Source organism: Homo sapiens, chromosome 1, assembly GCF_000001405.40.
Source record: "Homo sapiens chromosome 1, GRCh38.p14 Primary Assembly".
NCBI lineage: Eukaryota > Metazoa > Chordata > Mammalia > Primates > Hominidae > Homo > Homo sapiens.
The window spans coordinates 183,978,725-183,995,946 of NC_000001.11; the positions used below are offsets into that span (position 1 = coordinate 183,978,725).

The window sequence follows — 17,222 nt, forward strand, 5'->3', positions numbered from 1 at the left end:
ATCCTAAAACAGGGCTCAGCCAATTGGAGAACGTGTAAATGGTTGCATTAATAAATAAACACATGAAAACACCAAGAGAGTGTAAGCATAAAATGAATTAACTGAGAGTCAATTAATGAATCTTCTTGGAAATTTTTCTATATGTTTTAACTTTCAGTTACCCAGGATGTAAACTCCACCTTTTAACTTCATTAACAATGACCCTCAATTTGAGCAATAATTCTGCTTCATCTTCATTTCAAGTCAATTTTCTGACCGCAGCAAAATATCTAGTCAATGCTGCTTTAATCATTGTGAAGCTACAATAATAATTCTCAATATAAAACTCAAAATTTAAGGTATGTTCAATTATCTATTTTGGATTAACTTTACCATCACGTTTACAAAATAGAGTATTTTCCAAAGCCTTTAAATAATGTACACAAAACTTGTGCCTGTTCTACCCTGAAAGTTTAACAAATGGATCCACTTGTAAAAGGGCCTAACTCATTTATTTAAAAAGTATTTTCAAATTGTATCACAAAGCAAAACCCAACACATGTAAAACAGTTATTCAGAACACCTATAAATGAAGAGATAATGAAATGAAAAACAGAAAAAGAGAAGAAAGCAGGAGTTGTAATCCTGACAACAAACGAGGTAGAATTCAGGCCAAAGAGTATTAAGATGACAAAGAAGGAGACTTTATAATACTAAAGGAGGCCATTCACATCAAAATATACAAAGTATGAATATCTATACATTTTCATATATTACAGGGGTTGGCAAACTTTCTTTCAAGCGATAGATAGTAAACATTTTAGGTTTACAGGCCATATACTATCTGCAGCTACTACTTAACTCTGCCATGGTAGTGATAAATCAACCATAAACAATATGTAAATGAATGAGCATTGCTGTGTTCCAACAAAACTTTATTTACAAAAACAGGCAGTCTGTAGGCTATAATTTGCTGACCCCTAATATAGTAGAAAGTATAGAAACTGTAAAGAAAAACAGAAATAACAATAATAAGAGATATTAACATACCACTTTCAGTTAAAGATGGTACAAATGGGGAAACAAGTAAGTATATATAGGATCTGTACAACATACTAATAGAGACTTCTCAAGTGCACATGGAACATCTGCTAGCACTGACCAACAATTACATCCCAAAGAAAGCCTCCATAAAATTGAAATTATATAAACAACATTCTCTGATCTAAATGACATATACGTAGAAGTTGATAATAAAATAAAATCCCCCAAATCCACTAAAAACTCTCTTATAAAGTTGTTTTTTAAAAAATAACAATTACTAGTGGAAAAATAAATACAAACCAATTTCAGAACTTCCAAAAATTAATAATGAAAATACTACATATCAGAATTTTGGGATACAATTAAAGCAGTGATTAGAGAAAAATTCAGTTTTATATGCTTAAATAAATAAAAATAAATGAGTTAAATTTCTACTCAAAAAGCTAGGAAAAAAGCAACAAAGCAAACATATATAAAGAAATTAATAAAGATAAGGGTAGAAAGTTGTGAGATATAAAACAGAAAAAGAGTAGAAACAAACTAAAATGCTACTTCTTTGAGAAAGATCAATAAAAGACAAGCTGTAGTTAACCTACCTAAGACAAACAAATATAAAACAATAAGAAATGGTAAGGATGGGAAACAAGAAGATTGATTTGAAAGAAAAATTTTAAAAATGTGTAAGCAACTACTTTGTACAACTCGATGATAAATTTGAAAACTAAATATAATAGAAGATTTTCCAGAAAAATGCATGTTAGCAAAATTAACTCCTGAAGTGATATAAAGCTTAAATGAATAATTTCCAAGAAGAGAGTAAACAGGAAAAAAACCCCAACTAGGCTCATGTGTTTTTACAAGGGAATTCTACCAAATCCTACAATAGATACTTCCAATGCTATACAGCTTGTTATCCAGAGTGCAGGAAAAAAATGAAAATTCTAAGTTCTTCTAATATTGCAAGTATAATATTGATGTCTAAACCTTATAAAGATTTACACACACACACACACAGGCACACAACTACAGACCAATATCCTTTAATGCACATGCTGCAAAAATCTTAAATGAAGTATTAGCAAACAGAGTCCAACATCTTATTAAGAAAATATAGCATGGTCTAAGAATTTTCAATATGAAGGAATTTCACTAACATAATTCACTATGTTTATGGACCTGAAGAAAAATCATGATTATCTCTGTAAATGTGTAAAAGGTCTTTAACAAAATTCCACACCTAATCCTGGTTTTTAATAACCACACAGAATACAATTCAAGCAGATACTAAAAAAATAAGCCACTACAATTAAAACTGTGTGGTAATGACACAGGGATAAATGACATAGGGAGCCCAGTGGCACAGAACAGTAAGTACAGAAATTTAGTATATGATAAGGGTGTCGTAATATTCCCATGGAACAAACCTGCACATATACTCCCTGTATCTAAAATGAAAGTTGAAATTTAAAAATAAATAAAGTTTCATCAAAAATATATATGATATAATACAGTTTTGAAAAATGATCAGAGGTACACATGAAATAATTTAGCTTCTATTGCATCATTACTTTCACTGCTATTTGTAGGATGATTTAAAATAAATTGAAAGTAAATATAAATAAAGGCCAAGTGCGGTGGCTCATGCCCGCAATTGCAGCACTTTGGGAGGCCAAGGTGAGCAGATCATTTGAGGTCAGGAGTTTGAGACCAGCCTGATCTACATGGTGAAACCCGTCCCTACTAAAAAAAAAAAAAAACATTAGCTGGGTATGGTGGCACGTGCCTGTTAGTCCCAGCTACTTGGGAGGCTGAGGCAGGAGAATCGCTTGAACCTGCAAGGTGGAGATTGCAGTCAGCCGAGATCGGGCCACTGCACTGCAGCCTGGGTGATAGAGCGAGATGCTCTCTCAATAAATATAATAAATAAATAAAACACAAAAAACTCCTTTTCATTAAACATGAAACATTATAGTTTTTAATTGGTTTTAAATTGCCACTAAATATATTCAAAAAATTTTTTTTATCTCCTAAAATAATAATCTTTAAGAGAGGGAATGTTCAGGAATGTTCAAGAGAGAAAAATACATTGTTAAGCAAAGCACAGTGGAACTCTATTTAGATAGGGAATACATTTCTGTAAAATACCAAGAAACTTAAAACTATGTAACTTAAGCCATAGGGTGTAGAAAAATGGGACATAGAGGTATGTAAGTAATATTTGAAAATATTATCTTGTAAAATAGATACTTAAATTAAAACTAGCCTACTTAAAAACATTATCCAATAACTACAGATGACACCAATGGCCAACTTGATCTACTTTCAAGTGTCTTCTTGAAATTAGATGAGAACCAACTCTTCTCTTCTCGGCAAGGTCTAGGAGGGAGAACGACCCACAGGCCCACCTGGACATTCCATGGCCTGGAGAGGGAGAGAGGTGATGTGTGAATCTGACAGTTTTGAGGGATACCAGGTGAGCATGTTAGGACCAAGATGGGGTAGGAGGAGCCCTTAGCAACTCACAGAGGTGGGAAAGTGGTCCAGAAAGCAACGTGGAAGAAGGCCACAGGCTCCACTGAGTTTGTGATTGTGCCAAAAAGTGCAACGTCAGCAAAAGTCACATCCTTTGTGACTCATGGCCACAAGCTACCAACGTCCAGGGTACGCCATGAAGAGCGCAATGAGAGTCTAACCACTGGTCTCGTGATAGGAAGCATGCAGAGAGCAATTCCTGAAACTCAGAATTTACCATAAAGCACCTTATTCTTCACTTAAAACATTATGAAGAGGAGTAAGTTAAAACTAAGCAAAACAAAAATTCCTTATCACAGTGTTAGCCAAAAGCTATGAGATTTCTACATTATTCTTAAATTATTTATAAACGGCATAAGAGAATTTGCCAGGTGCAGTGGCACACACCCTTAGTCCTAGCTACCTGACAGACTGAGGCAGGAGGATCACTTGAGCCCAGGAGTTCCAGGCTGCAGTGAGTACAACTATGCCTGTGAATAGTCACTGCACTCCAGCCTGGGCAACATAGTGAGACCCCATCTCTTAAAAAAAATAGTCTAGGTAATTTATACAGCATCTACTTCTTTCCTTGGTTGTTGTTTCTTCATTACACAGGACTTCTTAAATTCTCTTTGCCTTCTCTACATCAATGCATTTCCTAATCCTTTTGACAAAGTTGGTCTTATCGTACGAAATGTGTTTTCCTGGTGTACAGATTAAACAACTCCAAAACCTGCCTAAGCATCCACTCCTGATGAACATCCTTAGAAATTAGCTGCCTGGAGTATGCAGAGGTACAGATGTCTAATTAAAAACAGATGCACAGATTTCAAATATTCTCTTTATTGAGTTAAAAAACTGTCTGTAGTGTTACTTCCCTGAATTAAGATTCTGTTTGTTCTCAGGCTTCTGAGGAAATGAACACGTCCTCCAGTTGTGGTTGGAGAGAGGTGCATGAATCCTGGTCTTTGAAGTGCAGGGCCAATCTCTCCTACACTCATTCCCAGAGGAGGAAGAGGAGGAAGAGCAGTGAGGGCCACACCAGCCCACCGAGGAAGCCTGGTGGTCCCCGCTTAAGACTAAGTTTCCCTGCTCCTCCTCCCCAATGTCAAAAAAGGCAAAAACACAGAAATCCAGGCAGACACTTCTAACTACTGCCTTGTAATCGCTCTGACAAAAGTATATTTCCATTTGAATGCATAATAATGAAAGCAACACAGGCCCTGGGCTATTCAGAGGGTTGGACAGAGAGAGATACCAAAGGCCCATATGCAAGCTTTCTGGAGGAAACCCGAGGCTGGTGCTAACGGTTCTATTTTCAGAGCCCTGTAGCACAAGGCAGCAACAGCGCAGTGCTTGTCCTGCTGCAGCACTCCACAAGCATCTAGACACAAAAACCTCTGCGGCTGAGGTGGATTTTTCCATGAAGCTAGGAAGCTGAGAACCCAGAATGTGTGAGGCCCCTCAGGAGGAGCTGAGGCACAGTGGCCCCTCTCTCAGTCTGAAGGCTCCTTGGAAAATGAGTACTGCCTCGAATCTGTTACCCTCCTCCCAACCAGACCAGAAAAGGCACCCAGAAAAATCGCAGACATCACTAATGGATTCCTTGAAGAAAACAAATGATGTGCAAGGACAGCTGGACATCTGGAGAGGTGATCTGCAAGTAATTGACAGTCAGTAATCAAACTGGAAAACCACAGATTGTGAAAACACAAATATGGGCTGGCTGGGTGACCATGTTTCCGGGAGGCTCATACGGCTCAGTCTTTGCCTCAATTCTCCAACTAGAGTGGATTCACACCTAAATCAACACCTCCACTCACTCTCTCTTCCCCAGATCTCTGACTCAGGATAAGACACCAAGGAAAGGCTGGACACAGTGGCTCACGCCTGTAATCCCAGCACTTTGGGAGGGTGAGGCGGATCACCTGAGGTCAGGAGTTCAAGGCCAGCCCAGCCAACATGGTGAAACCCCGTCTCTACTAAAAATACAAAAATTAACCAGGCGTGGTGGTGTGTGCCTGTAGTCCCAGCTACTTGGGAAGCTGAGGCAGGAAAATTGCTTGTACCCGGGAGGCGGAGACTGCAGTGAGCTGAGATCGTGCCACTGCACTCCAGCCTGGGTGAGAGAGTGAGATTCTGTCTCAAAAGAAAAACAACAACGACAAAAAGACAGCAAGGAGAGCTCAGCTCTTGAGCTGTTTTTAATTTTCTTTGAAGGTCATGTTGGGACAATAACTTTCCTTTACCTCTAAGGAGCCCTGGTACCCGCCAGCCACCAAGGTCTCTCCCTTCCACTTTTAGGGGAGCTGTGGCCCTGAGACAGCTTCAGTGCTCATGGTTGGCCACCTCTCTGTCCATGAGTCCTGGCCTGCTTTCTTTGGAGCTAGTACCTGAAAAGGGAGTGCTGGTAGAAACAGGTGCCACATCCACACTGGCCACCTCTTACCCTAATGCTGCCCATCTGCTTTCCCTCTGATTCTGCTTTTGGTTCCTATTTCCCCTTCTTCCTCTTCTCCAGCTGTGCAAGTTAGCAAAAGCCCATGAGTCTCAGATTCAAAATTGAATTAGGACTAAGGGAAACACGTATTGGAGATGTGATCACAGCACATGTAGGGATCCCCTTGGCTGATGATGCTCCCAGGTCAACAGGTGCACTGTCACCGCTACATGGAAGGGAGCACAAAGAGCAGACCAAGAAGTCAACATGTCTGCAGGATGAGACGCTTTACTGCTTGGCTGTGGAAAAAAAAATTGAGATTTATCTGGCAATGTCTAAAAACATTGACATTTCTCCTTGTTCCAGAAGTTAGTTTTCATTTCTAAGTCTTGCCTCTTAAGACTCAGAGCCAACTAGAAATAATTAGAACTGACTCATTTATTTTGACAAGTCCTACTGAGGTTGTTAGGGCTAAACTCATATTGGTAAGCATGGGGCCACTGGAATCATATTAAAGATGAAGACTGGATCTCTCAGCAGGTGGGACACGGAAACTGAGGACACAGTACTCCTTTATTTTATTTTATTTTTGAGATGGAGTTTCACTCTTGTTGCCCAGGCTGGAGTGCAATGGCACAATCTCAGCTCACTGCAACCTCCACCTCCCGGGTTCAAGTGATTGCCCTGCCTTAGCCTTCTAAGTAGCTGGGATTACAGGCATGCGCCACCATGCCCAGCTAATTTTGTATTTTTAGTAGAGATGGGGTTTCACCATGTTTGTCAGGCTGGTTTCGAACTCCTGATCCTCAGGTGATCCACCCGCCTCAACCTCCCAAAGTGCTGGGATTACAGGCATGAGCCACCGCACCCGGCCAGGACACGGTACTTCTGATCACTTCCATCTGTACTGAGACTCAGGGAATGTCCTCAGCTTCCCTGCCACACCCGAGAAAGTCTAAGACCTCTGTCACTATAGAAGAGGTCTGCGATTGGTGGAGTAGCAGGATGGCAACACTGGACAACGACTGATCTATTGATCTTGCTGCCTGAGAACCTGCAAAATACATTCCCCAGAGGCTCAAGGGAATGGCAGTGGAATGAACAACAAACTTAGTCACCACCTGGACAATCCTCACCATGACTAGTGAGTTGGCAAAGGTAAATTTTCCAATTCGAGACTTCAAACACTGAACTACCCTCTCAGATGCTTCTTGTTTTCATTGAGCAAAGAAGACTCACTGGTGTAGAAAATAAACAGCTCCACCTAAAAATAAAATTCCACTAATGAAAGCAACTACTGTAATTCATTTTCAAGAAAGGTCATATCATCGAGTCCCGCCACCTCTGTGTCCAGTCTCAAGGAAAGCCTCCCCAGCAGCAGACGTGCCAAAGGCAGAGACATGCTCAGCCACTCAGCAAAATATGCCAATTGATTCTTCTTTCTTGGTTACTGGGTAGAATTCTGTCTAAAGATCTGGAATCCTTTTTCTGGGTGGAAACTAGATATGGATATGGTTAAAGACGTGAATATGGATTGGGGGTCTGGGGATTCCTCCCACAAAAAGCCTTTTCCTAGATCCTATTCATACCAAGTCACTTAGTTGCAATTCTTCCCAATGAACTAAGAAATCAGAAAAACTCACTTCTCATGAAAAATTCCTCACCAACAAAATTAATGTTTATACTTCCTCAACATCCCTCCTCAGTATGCCCCATTTCATCCCAGAAACAATCATAGACACGACACACCTGAAGCCTGGGTATATGTGATGTAAAAATAAATATTTGATTCTAGAAATTCAAGCAACCAATCAATTTCATCCCTAAATGGCATCTCTAAATTTTTCCTGATGGTAAAATTTGCTGATTGACCAGTTAACAGTCAATTCAAAAGCCCATTATCATCTTTCAATAAAATTAATAAACTTAATTAAACATATTATAATTGAGCTATTTTTTATACTCATGATTCGGAGATATATTTTTCTTCTCTTTGTGTTAAGAACTTCTCAACATTATGCCACACACTAACCCATTTTTAGCCTTATGATTAACTAAGTTACTCATTATCTTTATTTCCCCTGTTATAGAAAAGAAGGCTGAGGATGAGAGGTTATGATTTGCTCAAGTCATGCAAATGGTGGGTGCTAGAGCTTGGCCTTTTTATTTAGGCCTTCTAATCCATCCCTCAACACCCACCCTCCCACTCCAGGCTCCCCACCACACCTGTCCAACAAAGAGTAGATGACCAGGAAACACCTGTCAAATTGGAAGTTCTCTACCTTGTCAAGGATATGAATCAATATGACCAATATGATCATCTCAGGATGACAGGATGGAAATGCTCTAGCAAAAAAACAAAAGAAAAATGGGAAGATTCATTCATTCCCTACAAGCTTTGCTTAGGTTTACTTTCAGCATAATTTTCCTTGGAGTCACAACCCTTGGAATTCCATGAAAATATCAGTGGGAGTGTCTGAGACAAGACAAATATGTTTCTCATTTGTCTATCTACCCTCTTCCTGTTTTCGTTCTCCTTTGGCCCTTGTTTATTCTTCTTCCCACCTTTTTCACCCACTCATCATGGCCCCTTTTCTTGTCCTTATTGGATTTTCCAATTCTGTTAAGTTCTTTATTTTGTGGATGTACCCTGAAGACATGTAGTTACTAGTTAAATGTAGCACTGGTACTAAAGAGAAGACACAGCAGGATCCAAAAACATTTTCTCCAGGAGTCCTGAACCTCTACATCTCCAAACACATCAGGTTAGATTGGACACCCTCTATCTGTAATTATGCATCACTAGCTTGCCATGCTTCCAGCACTGTGCTTGCTCTTGTGTTATAATTAACTGGTTCTATTTCTTTCTTCATTACTTGACTTTCTTCCCTGAGGACAGGGACTGTCCCAGTACTTAACAGTTCACTATAAAATAAGCACTTATCATGAGTTTGATGAGTGAATGAATGAACAATTTCAGGGAACTTCTCCCCATCCAACCCAAATGCCTATAAATGCTGAGCACAGATAACAAAGAAATGAAATGGGCCATGTATGAGCCAACAGTGTGAAAGGAGGACTGTTGAGAATAGGCACATGTGGGCCCCAACTGATTGCTGCTGCACTGGAATGTGTGCCCAGAAATGCTAGGCTTTCAAATTGTTTCAAGAGAAGCTGGCTATCTACTTTTTAGAGATAAAAGTCTATTTATAACCTGTACAAACTTTTAGGCTGAAATGCCATGAAAATATTCCACCCTGGCAGGAGGTCTCTGGAAATCAACATAAAAAACACATTATTTCATCTCTTAATAGCCCAGGTCCATCTATCCACACATGCTCAGGGCACATATTTCAGTAATTAAATATTTCAAATATGGCTGGGAGGACAGCAATACTATCACTTTGCTGCTTTCACAAAACAGAAAACATCTTCCATGAGAAAGAAAAGACAAACATGCACAGATTGAGCAAGATGTAACTAATTCTCTCAACCCAGTCTAATATCAAGAGAATTGGAAAGAAGAAAAAAATGATGGCAGCACCACAGAATGAGTGTAAGTGTACACTTCCTGCAAACACCGTACATACCTCCTCTCATTGCGCAGCAACTAAGACATGATTACTGCTGCACAAACTTTTTACTAACAACTTTATTGAGATATATTTCACATATCGAATACTCACTCTTCTAAAATATAAAATTCAGTGGTTTTTAGTTGTGCAACCATCACCATTATCCAATTCCAGAACATTTCCATCACCTCAAAAAGAAACCCTACATGCATTAGCAGTCACCTCTCACCCCTCCAGCCCCTGGTAACCACTATTCTGCTTTCTGTCCCTATGGATTTGCCTATTCTCGTCCTTTCTTATCAATGGAATCATATGATTGTGGCCTTTTGTGTCTGCCTTCTTTCACTTTGCATACTGTTTTCAAGGTTCACGCATGTTGTAGCACGTACCAGTACTTCACTTCTTTTTATGGCTAAATAATGTTCCATAGTATGGATATGCCACATTTTGTTTATTCATTTATCAGTTAATAGACATTTGGGTGCTTTCACTTTCTAGTTACTATGAACGATGCTGCTATGAACATTCATGTACAGGTTTTTGTGTGAACATATGGTTTCATTTACCCTGAGTACGGCTGCTCAAATTTTAAATACTATGGAAAAAGAATAAAATTTATTTTATTTTATTCTTTACCCTTTGTGGAGAATCTACTATGTTCCAGGCAGTAAGCTGACCATTTTACGTATATAACTTTAACATTTAAAGTAATTTTCCTTTAAGTATTATTATCCCCATTTTACAGAAGAGGAATGTGAGGCTTAGAGACTCTCTTCCAAAGATGGTTTTCTTTCCATTTATACTTGATCTTTGATATGTATTTTTCTTAATTTCTGAAATTCTCAGTTTTCTGTTCCAATGTAGCAGAGAGGAATCCTTTACTCTGCTTCATGAGTATCTTGGTTGTACATGAGATGAGCAGATGCAAGGGCCCAGGAATGCGTGGGCAGTTGCAAGGAAGTGAGAAGTGTCAGGTCTCAGCAGAGGAGCTGGGTGGAGCAGCTGAAACAGGACATGGATGATTAAACTCTGAGTGGGGATGTCCAGCACTGCCTCATGGTGCCTGGCAGGGCAATGCTACAGCAAAACATGGAGCCTCTGAAACATGAGGTCATGGGGGAACTGGAGCCAGCGCGACCACAGGGAAAGTCACAGCCCAAGGACTGGGCTTGCTACGTGCAGCAATTATTGACAGGAGGATCTCCCTGCTCTATTCTCTGGAGGAGAACTGGCTGAACTGCAGTGACAATGTGGGCAAAGTGGTCTCTTGGATTGAGGACTGGGAGAAAGCTGAAGGAAGTGTCCATGTTCTGTGTAGAAAGATTTACTTTGATTCATTCCTTTCTGGAAACAACTGCAGTTAAGAATGACAATAAATATTTTAGTTATCTATTAATCCTGAGTTCCTTGACCTACTATTTTGCTAACGACATCCTTAATCAAATAAAAAGTATGAAGTCAGGAGGCATGGCTCTTTCACCAATTAACTCTGTAATCTTAATGAATTTACTTGAACTCTCTGTGCTTTGTTTTTCCATCTGTAAAATGGGACAATAACATCTGCTGCATCTACCTAGCTCACTGGGTTATTTTGAGGAGCCAACAGCATGTGAAGGAGCTTTCAAGAACACTTTCCTTGAAAGCTGGCCTTCCCCTGGCTGTCCCCAACACACACACAGATCCTCAATTAAGAAATAAGACAGCTTGTTGAATAGGCTCTTAAGACACATGCAAAAAAGTTCAACACATTCATTTAAGACAAACAAACTAGAATTACCACAGCCTACCATTTTTTAAGAATAAAAGATACACATGCCCATAGCAAGGACTGCTAATTATCTCAACATCAGTTCTTCTCTTTTTCCCTAGTAATAGAATTTTTAGCTGAGTCTATGACTGTCCGGCTTAAAGAGTAAACTTTAGGCTCAATGACAGCAGAGACATTTGTCTCTTCTGTTTACTCCTCCATTCTTAACGCTTAGAACAGTGCCTCACACATAGTATGTGCTCAATAAATATTTGTTGAATGGTTCCTTTCACATCAAACTCCTAGCCTAATAAGAACTATAAAAACACCTGTACAGTTCCCTCAGTTCAACAGACACTGGCTATGCATGTCCTCTGTGCCGGTGATCGTGGCACTTGCTGGAAAGCAACACCTTGTCATTCACATCAAGATGCACCCAGTTTCTCACAGATGGACAGGAAATACAGATGTGTAAATAAATAACTGTAATTTGGTATGACATTGTTGACGATGGATATATGACAAGGTCTCCAAGTGCCAGGGAGGAGGGAGTGGCTAGAAAGGTGTGGGAAGGGCCACGAGAGGCTTCTCAAAGGATCAGAGGCTTGAATTGGGATTTGAAGATTGAGCAGACATTAAGGGAAGGTAGAAAGAAGAATGTTCCAGAAAAAGGAACAACATATGTGGAGGCAGAAAGGGATGAAAGAGTCTGATGTGTTTGTGGAACTCCACGTAAATTTGTTGGGCTAGGACTTACAAGCCAAGAGGGCGAGATGGCTGTAAGGTGTTAGGGCTGATGCAATTGTCAGGGATAGGGTAGGCACAGGACACAGTGAAGAGGGGTGACCCCCTTTCCTGGGTCCCTAGCATCTTGCCCTCCTTTAAAAAATAAACTGGTTTATAATTCTCTGAAATTATGTGTTTTTCCAGATTGTGACAGGTATTGCTGTTAGCATGAGCATGCATTTATTCTTTGATTCCTCAGAGGAAATGTTCAAAATATACATCATGTGCTGGCCTATTTTATTCAGTTCCAATTCCATCCGCAGGTGCAGCTGCCACATAGTCTGGGTTTTCTGCGAAAGGTGTGATTTCTAACATTCCCACCCATTTTCTTCATAACTTCATTTGTACCTCCCAGATCATGTGTCCAAAGTAAACACTTAACATGTGCTTGTTGAATGACTAAGTGAACAAATAAATGCTTGTATAAATCAATGACACGAACAAAAATAAAGTGGTTATATTTATTAAGGGTCTATTACTTAATGAAAAGCAGCAGCAAATCTGTAATAGAACAATATTAGATGCATATAAATCATTTTGATTTTTTTAAAAAGCCATCACACTTTTCTCTGCTACAGTATTTGTTTCCCCATTGAGAAAGCTGGACTAGAAATGTGAACAAAGAGAAAAAGTATAAATTTACAAACTGAATTCAAAGCTGTTTTCCCACAGAGTATCCCAGAATGACAACTTGGCCCTGACTAAAAAAAAATGTCAGCCCAGTCAGTCACTGTTATCCAATACCTGTTGTCTTGGTTCCAGGAACAACACTCCTGGCCATTTCAGGAGGGAGAGACAAATGTTTGCTTTGAATTTACCTGCTTTGAGAAATTTTCAGTCTGGTCTTCCCATATCACTTCATTTGTGGTTCCTTCACATGGCGGTGGTGGGGGAATGTTGCAGGAGACTACAGTTTGGCAGGTGTTAGATACATGTTCATAAACTATACTCACACCCACAGTAAATTGAAGAGTCCCAAGTCATATTTTTGAGGAGTCTTGAGTTATTTTACTTAGTCGTAGTGTCAGGGCAAACAGGAGGCTATTCTGATGGTATTTTTTTTTTTCCATTTCTATTCTGGAAAACTACTGTCAGAGGGAAGGAACACCGTGTGCTCCTAACATTCCCAGGGTCTGTGTGGCTTTGTCACTTGCTCCTGGGAGAGGAGCATGCATAAATACACAGCATATAGATGTGTTGCTGTTGCCTTTACTACTCACTGCTCTTCTGCAGAGAGGGGAGCAGTGAGAGCAAACCTCAGCTAAGTGCTCACTCCTGGCCAGGCATTGACCTAGAACTCTAGCAACATCTCATTTAATCCTCACAGCAACCCTATGATGTAGTATTCTTACTATCTCCATTATACAGAGGAGGAAAATCAGGTCCAGAGAGGTGACACATCATGTCCAAAGTCTCAGAGGTAGTAAGAATTAGAGCCAGACATAAGTCAGACAGCTGGACTCATGATGTCCCATCTACCACTACTCTAAGAGGCTTATTTTGAAGCTGTCCTTTGGAGTGAAGTTTAAAACAGAAGGAAATACTTTTAAAGATAGTAGAGGGTAAATTCTAACTTTGTCTTCAAAGTGCTAGGTATATCAGTAGGCTTCACGTTATCAGTAAAACTGCTGCGACCACAGATCATTTAAGTCAGCTTAGAGTCCCCATGGGTCATGAGCCATCTTCATGCCTCAGAAATATAGTCAATGAAGCACTCATAATTTTCAATGATGTCTTAAAGAATGAATGGCACCTAATGATGATTGATTGACTGTCCTCTTTAATATTGCTCAAAACTTTCAGTCAAGTTGTTTATCTGGTCTCTGACAGATAGGTTTAAGAATCTTTGCTCTTGCTGTGAATAGAGTTATCAGTTGAAAGGATGCCTGATGCACTAGCTTTTTAAAAGCTTGCTCCAGATTTCATCTGGTGACTTTGGAAGGTAGGACACGGATACTGGGCTCTAGACTTCCAAGGTGCTCAAGCCTTCCCCAACCTCCCCAAATGGGTAAAATCCCCCAGTTATATGGTTTTTGGGATCATGTATCTCTTCTTTCTAGTACTTATCAGAGTTGTAATTCTACATTTATTTCTATGGTACTCAATAATGTATTTCTCCTCTAATGGTTTATAAGCTCCATGAGGGCAGGGATATGTCTGTCTTTGCTCATCACTGTATCCTCAAGCCCAGGACAGTGCCTGGCATCAGCACTGGGTAAAGGGTTGCTAAATGAATAACTAGATGCAAAAATGCCATCCTCACTTTTTACAAGAAAACTCTAAATATTTAAAACATGTATTTTTCACCAGTAAAAATGAAATACACAATCAGATAAAGAAGACAAAATGACTTTTGGGGTACTTCCTCTCTCTTTCATAATCCATATCTGGAAAGTTTGACTTTCATGTGGGCTCTGGAAACAGGAAGGAATCAGATGCTGTTTGGTATTAAGCTGCTGAAGGCTCCAGGGGAGCCCAGTAACTTATCTAAGAGGAAGTGGGGAATGCAATCAGTTGCTTTGAAGGCAGCACCCAGGAAATATCTGGCCAGGACAGAGGTTCAAGCAAATATAATTGTGGTAGATGGTAAATATGGCAACAGGTGAGTAATTCTTTCTGGCTTTCATTGGGGTGTGTCTTTTAAGCCAAATTAGAAATCCAGCAAGAGGATTTGGTATGCACCATTATAAACAGAGTCCAGCTCCAGCCAATGCAGGGAGAAGGCTGCAACCTCCCTTTCAGACCCAAAAAAGGACCCAATGACTCCCTGAGGAACAAGTAGACCAAAGGGCAGCTCTGAACACCCTTCCTTCCCCAGCCCCAGGTCAGGCCATGTCTAAGGCATACTTTAGTCTCTAGCTGCCACCATGTTCTTTTGGAGGTGCCATGTGAAGGAAGCCAACAATGTCCAACATTCAAAGTTCATGTCCCCAGAATTTCCTAATTTTTCAATTGCCTCTGTAAATTATTTCAGAACATGTCGCTGTTAAAATTCTTATTTTCATTCCCACATCCTGATGTTTAGAGAGGGAATTAGGCATTACCAGAGCTAGATTTGAACTCACTGACCCAAGTTTCTTCAGCAGAGGATCCAAAAGGAACCAAAACTTTCATCAGGACTGTTATGTGTATGAAGACAGAAGAGAAGCCTTTTGGTACAAGGTAGCACTCAAGACAAGGATTCAGTAAAATAAGTCACACTCATTTTCTCTTGTAATTCTTTTTTTTTTTTTTTTTTTTTTTTTTTTTTGAGACAGAGTCTTGCTCTGTCACCCAGGCTGGAGTGCAGTGGTGTGATCTCGGCTCACTGCAAACTCCAGCTCCCGGGTTCACACCATTCTCCTGCCTCAGCCTCCCAAGTAGCTGGGACTACAGGCACCCGCCACCACACTCTACTAATTTTTTGTATTTTTGGTAGAGACAGGGTTTCACCGTGTGAGCCAGAATGGTCTTGATCTCCTGACCTCGTGATCCACCCACCTCGGCCTCCCAAAGTGCTGGGATTACAGGCATGAGCCACCGCACCTGGCCTCTCCTTTAATTCTTACAACATCCTAGGAAGTAGGTATTCTCCGTATCTTATGGATGAGAAAATAGTTACAAAGCTAGTAAGTAATGGATCCACGATTCAAGCCTAATTAACCCTGCAAATTATTATTATTATTTGAGACAGAGTCTTGCTCTGTCACCCAGGCTGGAGTGCAGTGGTGTGATCTCAGCTCACTGCAACCTCCGCCTTCCAGGTTCAAGCGATTCTCCTGCCTCAGCCTCCCGAATAGCTCGGATTACTGGGGCGTGCCACCATGCCCGGCCAATTTTTGTATTTTTAGTAGAGACGGGGTTTCACCACGTTGGCCAGGCTGGTCTCAAACTCCTGACCTCAGGTAATCCGCCCGCCTTGGCCTCCCAAAGTGCTGGATTACAGGTGTGAGCCACTGCGCCTGGCCTTAACCTGCAAATTAAAGGTGAATTTTCAAAAGCAAGGAATGAAGAGATTTCTTTTTGGTAAGGTCTTATGGGGAGTAATAACAAAATACCTGGCATAAAATCAAGGATCCTATATCTAGTCAGATTTTTTAAAAATAGAAAATAAAGCCAAATGTATTTGACTATACTGCCTATAGATAAATTAGATTTTATCCAGAAGGCGGTATGGTGAAGTGACTTTTGAAACCCTTCAGCTATTTAATCCTGGCTAAATTACTTAACATCTCTATAAGCCTTAGTTTCCACATTTGCATTGTTGTAAAGACTAAGAAATCACCTATGAAAAGAATAAACATTAGAAAAAAAACAAAGAGAAGAAAAACAATAACATGAATACATATCAATAGTCATTTCTGAATACATAAAATTTCCAAACTTGTAGCAAGAAAATTGCAAATGTAAGTACTTCATCAGTGAAAGAAATAAGTGCTATAATCCAATAAAAGGCATTTGGCCCTGATTGAGAGAAAAAAATCTCCCAAACAACCAAACATTTTTAAAAAATCTAACCACTGGCAAAAGTGATTTTTGAACTCCAAACCTATAATGAACAGTTCAAAACACATATAGTCATGTCTGAACATAGATGAACAAAAATCTTAAAACCTTAGCAAAGTGGAATACAACAAACGTGTCAAACTCAGTAAAATAAACATCCTCTTGAGTGAGCAGTGGCTGGAGGGAGAGGAACAGGAGAAATCCCTAGGCAGCTTCCAGAGAGTTCTTCAAGCAGGACATTCTGCCAGTGGAGGCGCAGCCTCCGGAAGCCAGAGCCACGTCAGGCTAGCAAGCGCTCAAGGGCTTCTTGTATACTACCTTGTATGTTTGCTTCCAGCGGGTGTGTATTTTTTTTTTCTTTTTTTGGTTTGACTATTTGTTTTTCTAAGGAAACCTTTGGTTTTTCTTCACATTTTTTTCCCTTTAATATCCCAATTTACTTAAAATATTCCAATTACCTTAATACATGTAAGTTTATTGTCTTTCTTTATCCCTTTAATTGCACTTTTATGGGGTATTCTAATTTGTCATCTTATCCTATTCTCCTTTTGAATCTTACATTTTACTTTAAAAATTACGTATACCCCATTTTATTATTATATTTTTACTCCTTTTTACTCCTTATTTATTGTCCTTATATTCAATCTCAACTGTA

At 39.8% G+C, this 17,222-nt stretch overlaps 1 protein-coding gene across 3 annotated transcripts in view, besides 1 other annotated feature; it reads right to left on the reverse strand.

Annotated features, from left to right (window-relative positions):
• COLGALT2 (collagen beta(1-O)galactosyltransferase 2) overlaps positions 1 to 17,222 on the reverse strand; it is a 108,067-nt gene that overhangs the window by 49,063 nt on the left and 41,782 nt on the right. The window lies entirely within an intron of this gene.
• Positions 10,722 to 10,801: an enhancer, noted in NCBI's record as "active region_2229". NCBI's record gives its function as "activates an Ori minimal core promoter by ATAC-STARR-seq in GM12878 lymphoblastoid cells {active_cell/tissue: GM12878}" and the evidence as "EXISTENCE:reporter gene assay evidence [ECO:0000049][PMID:35858748]".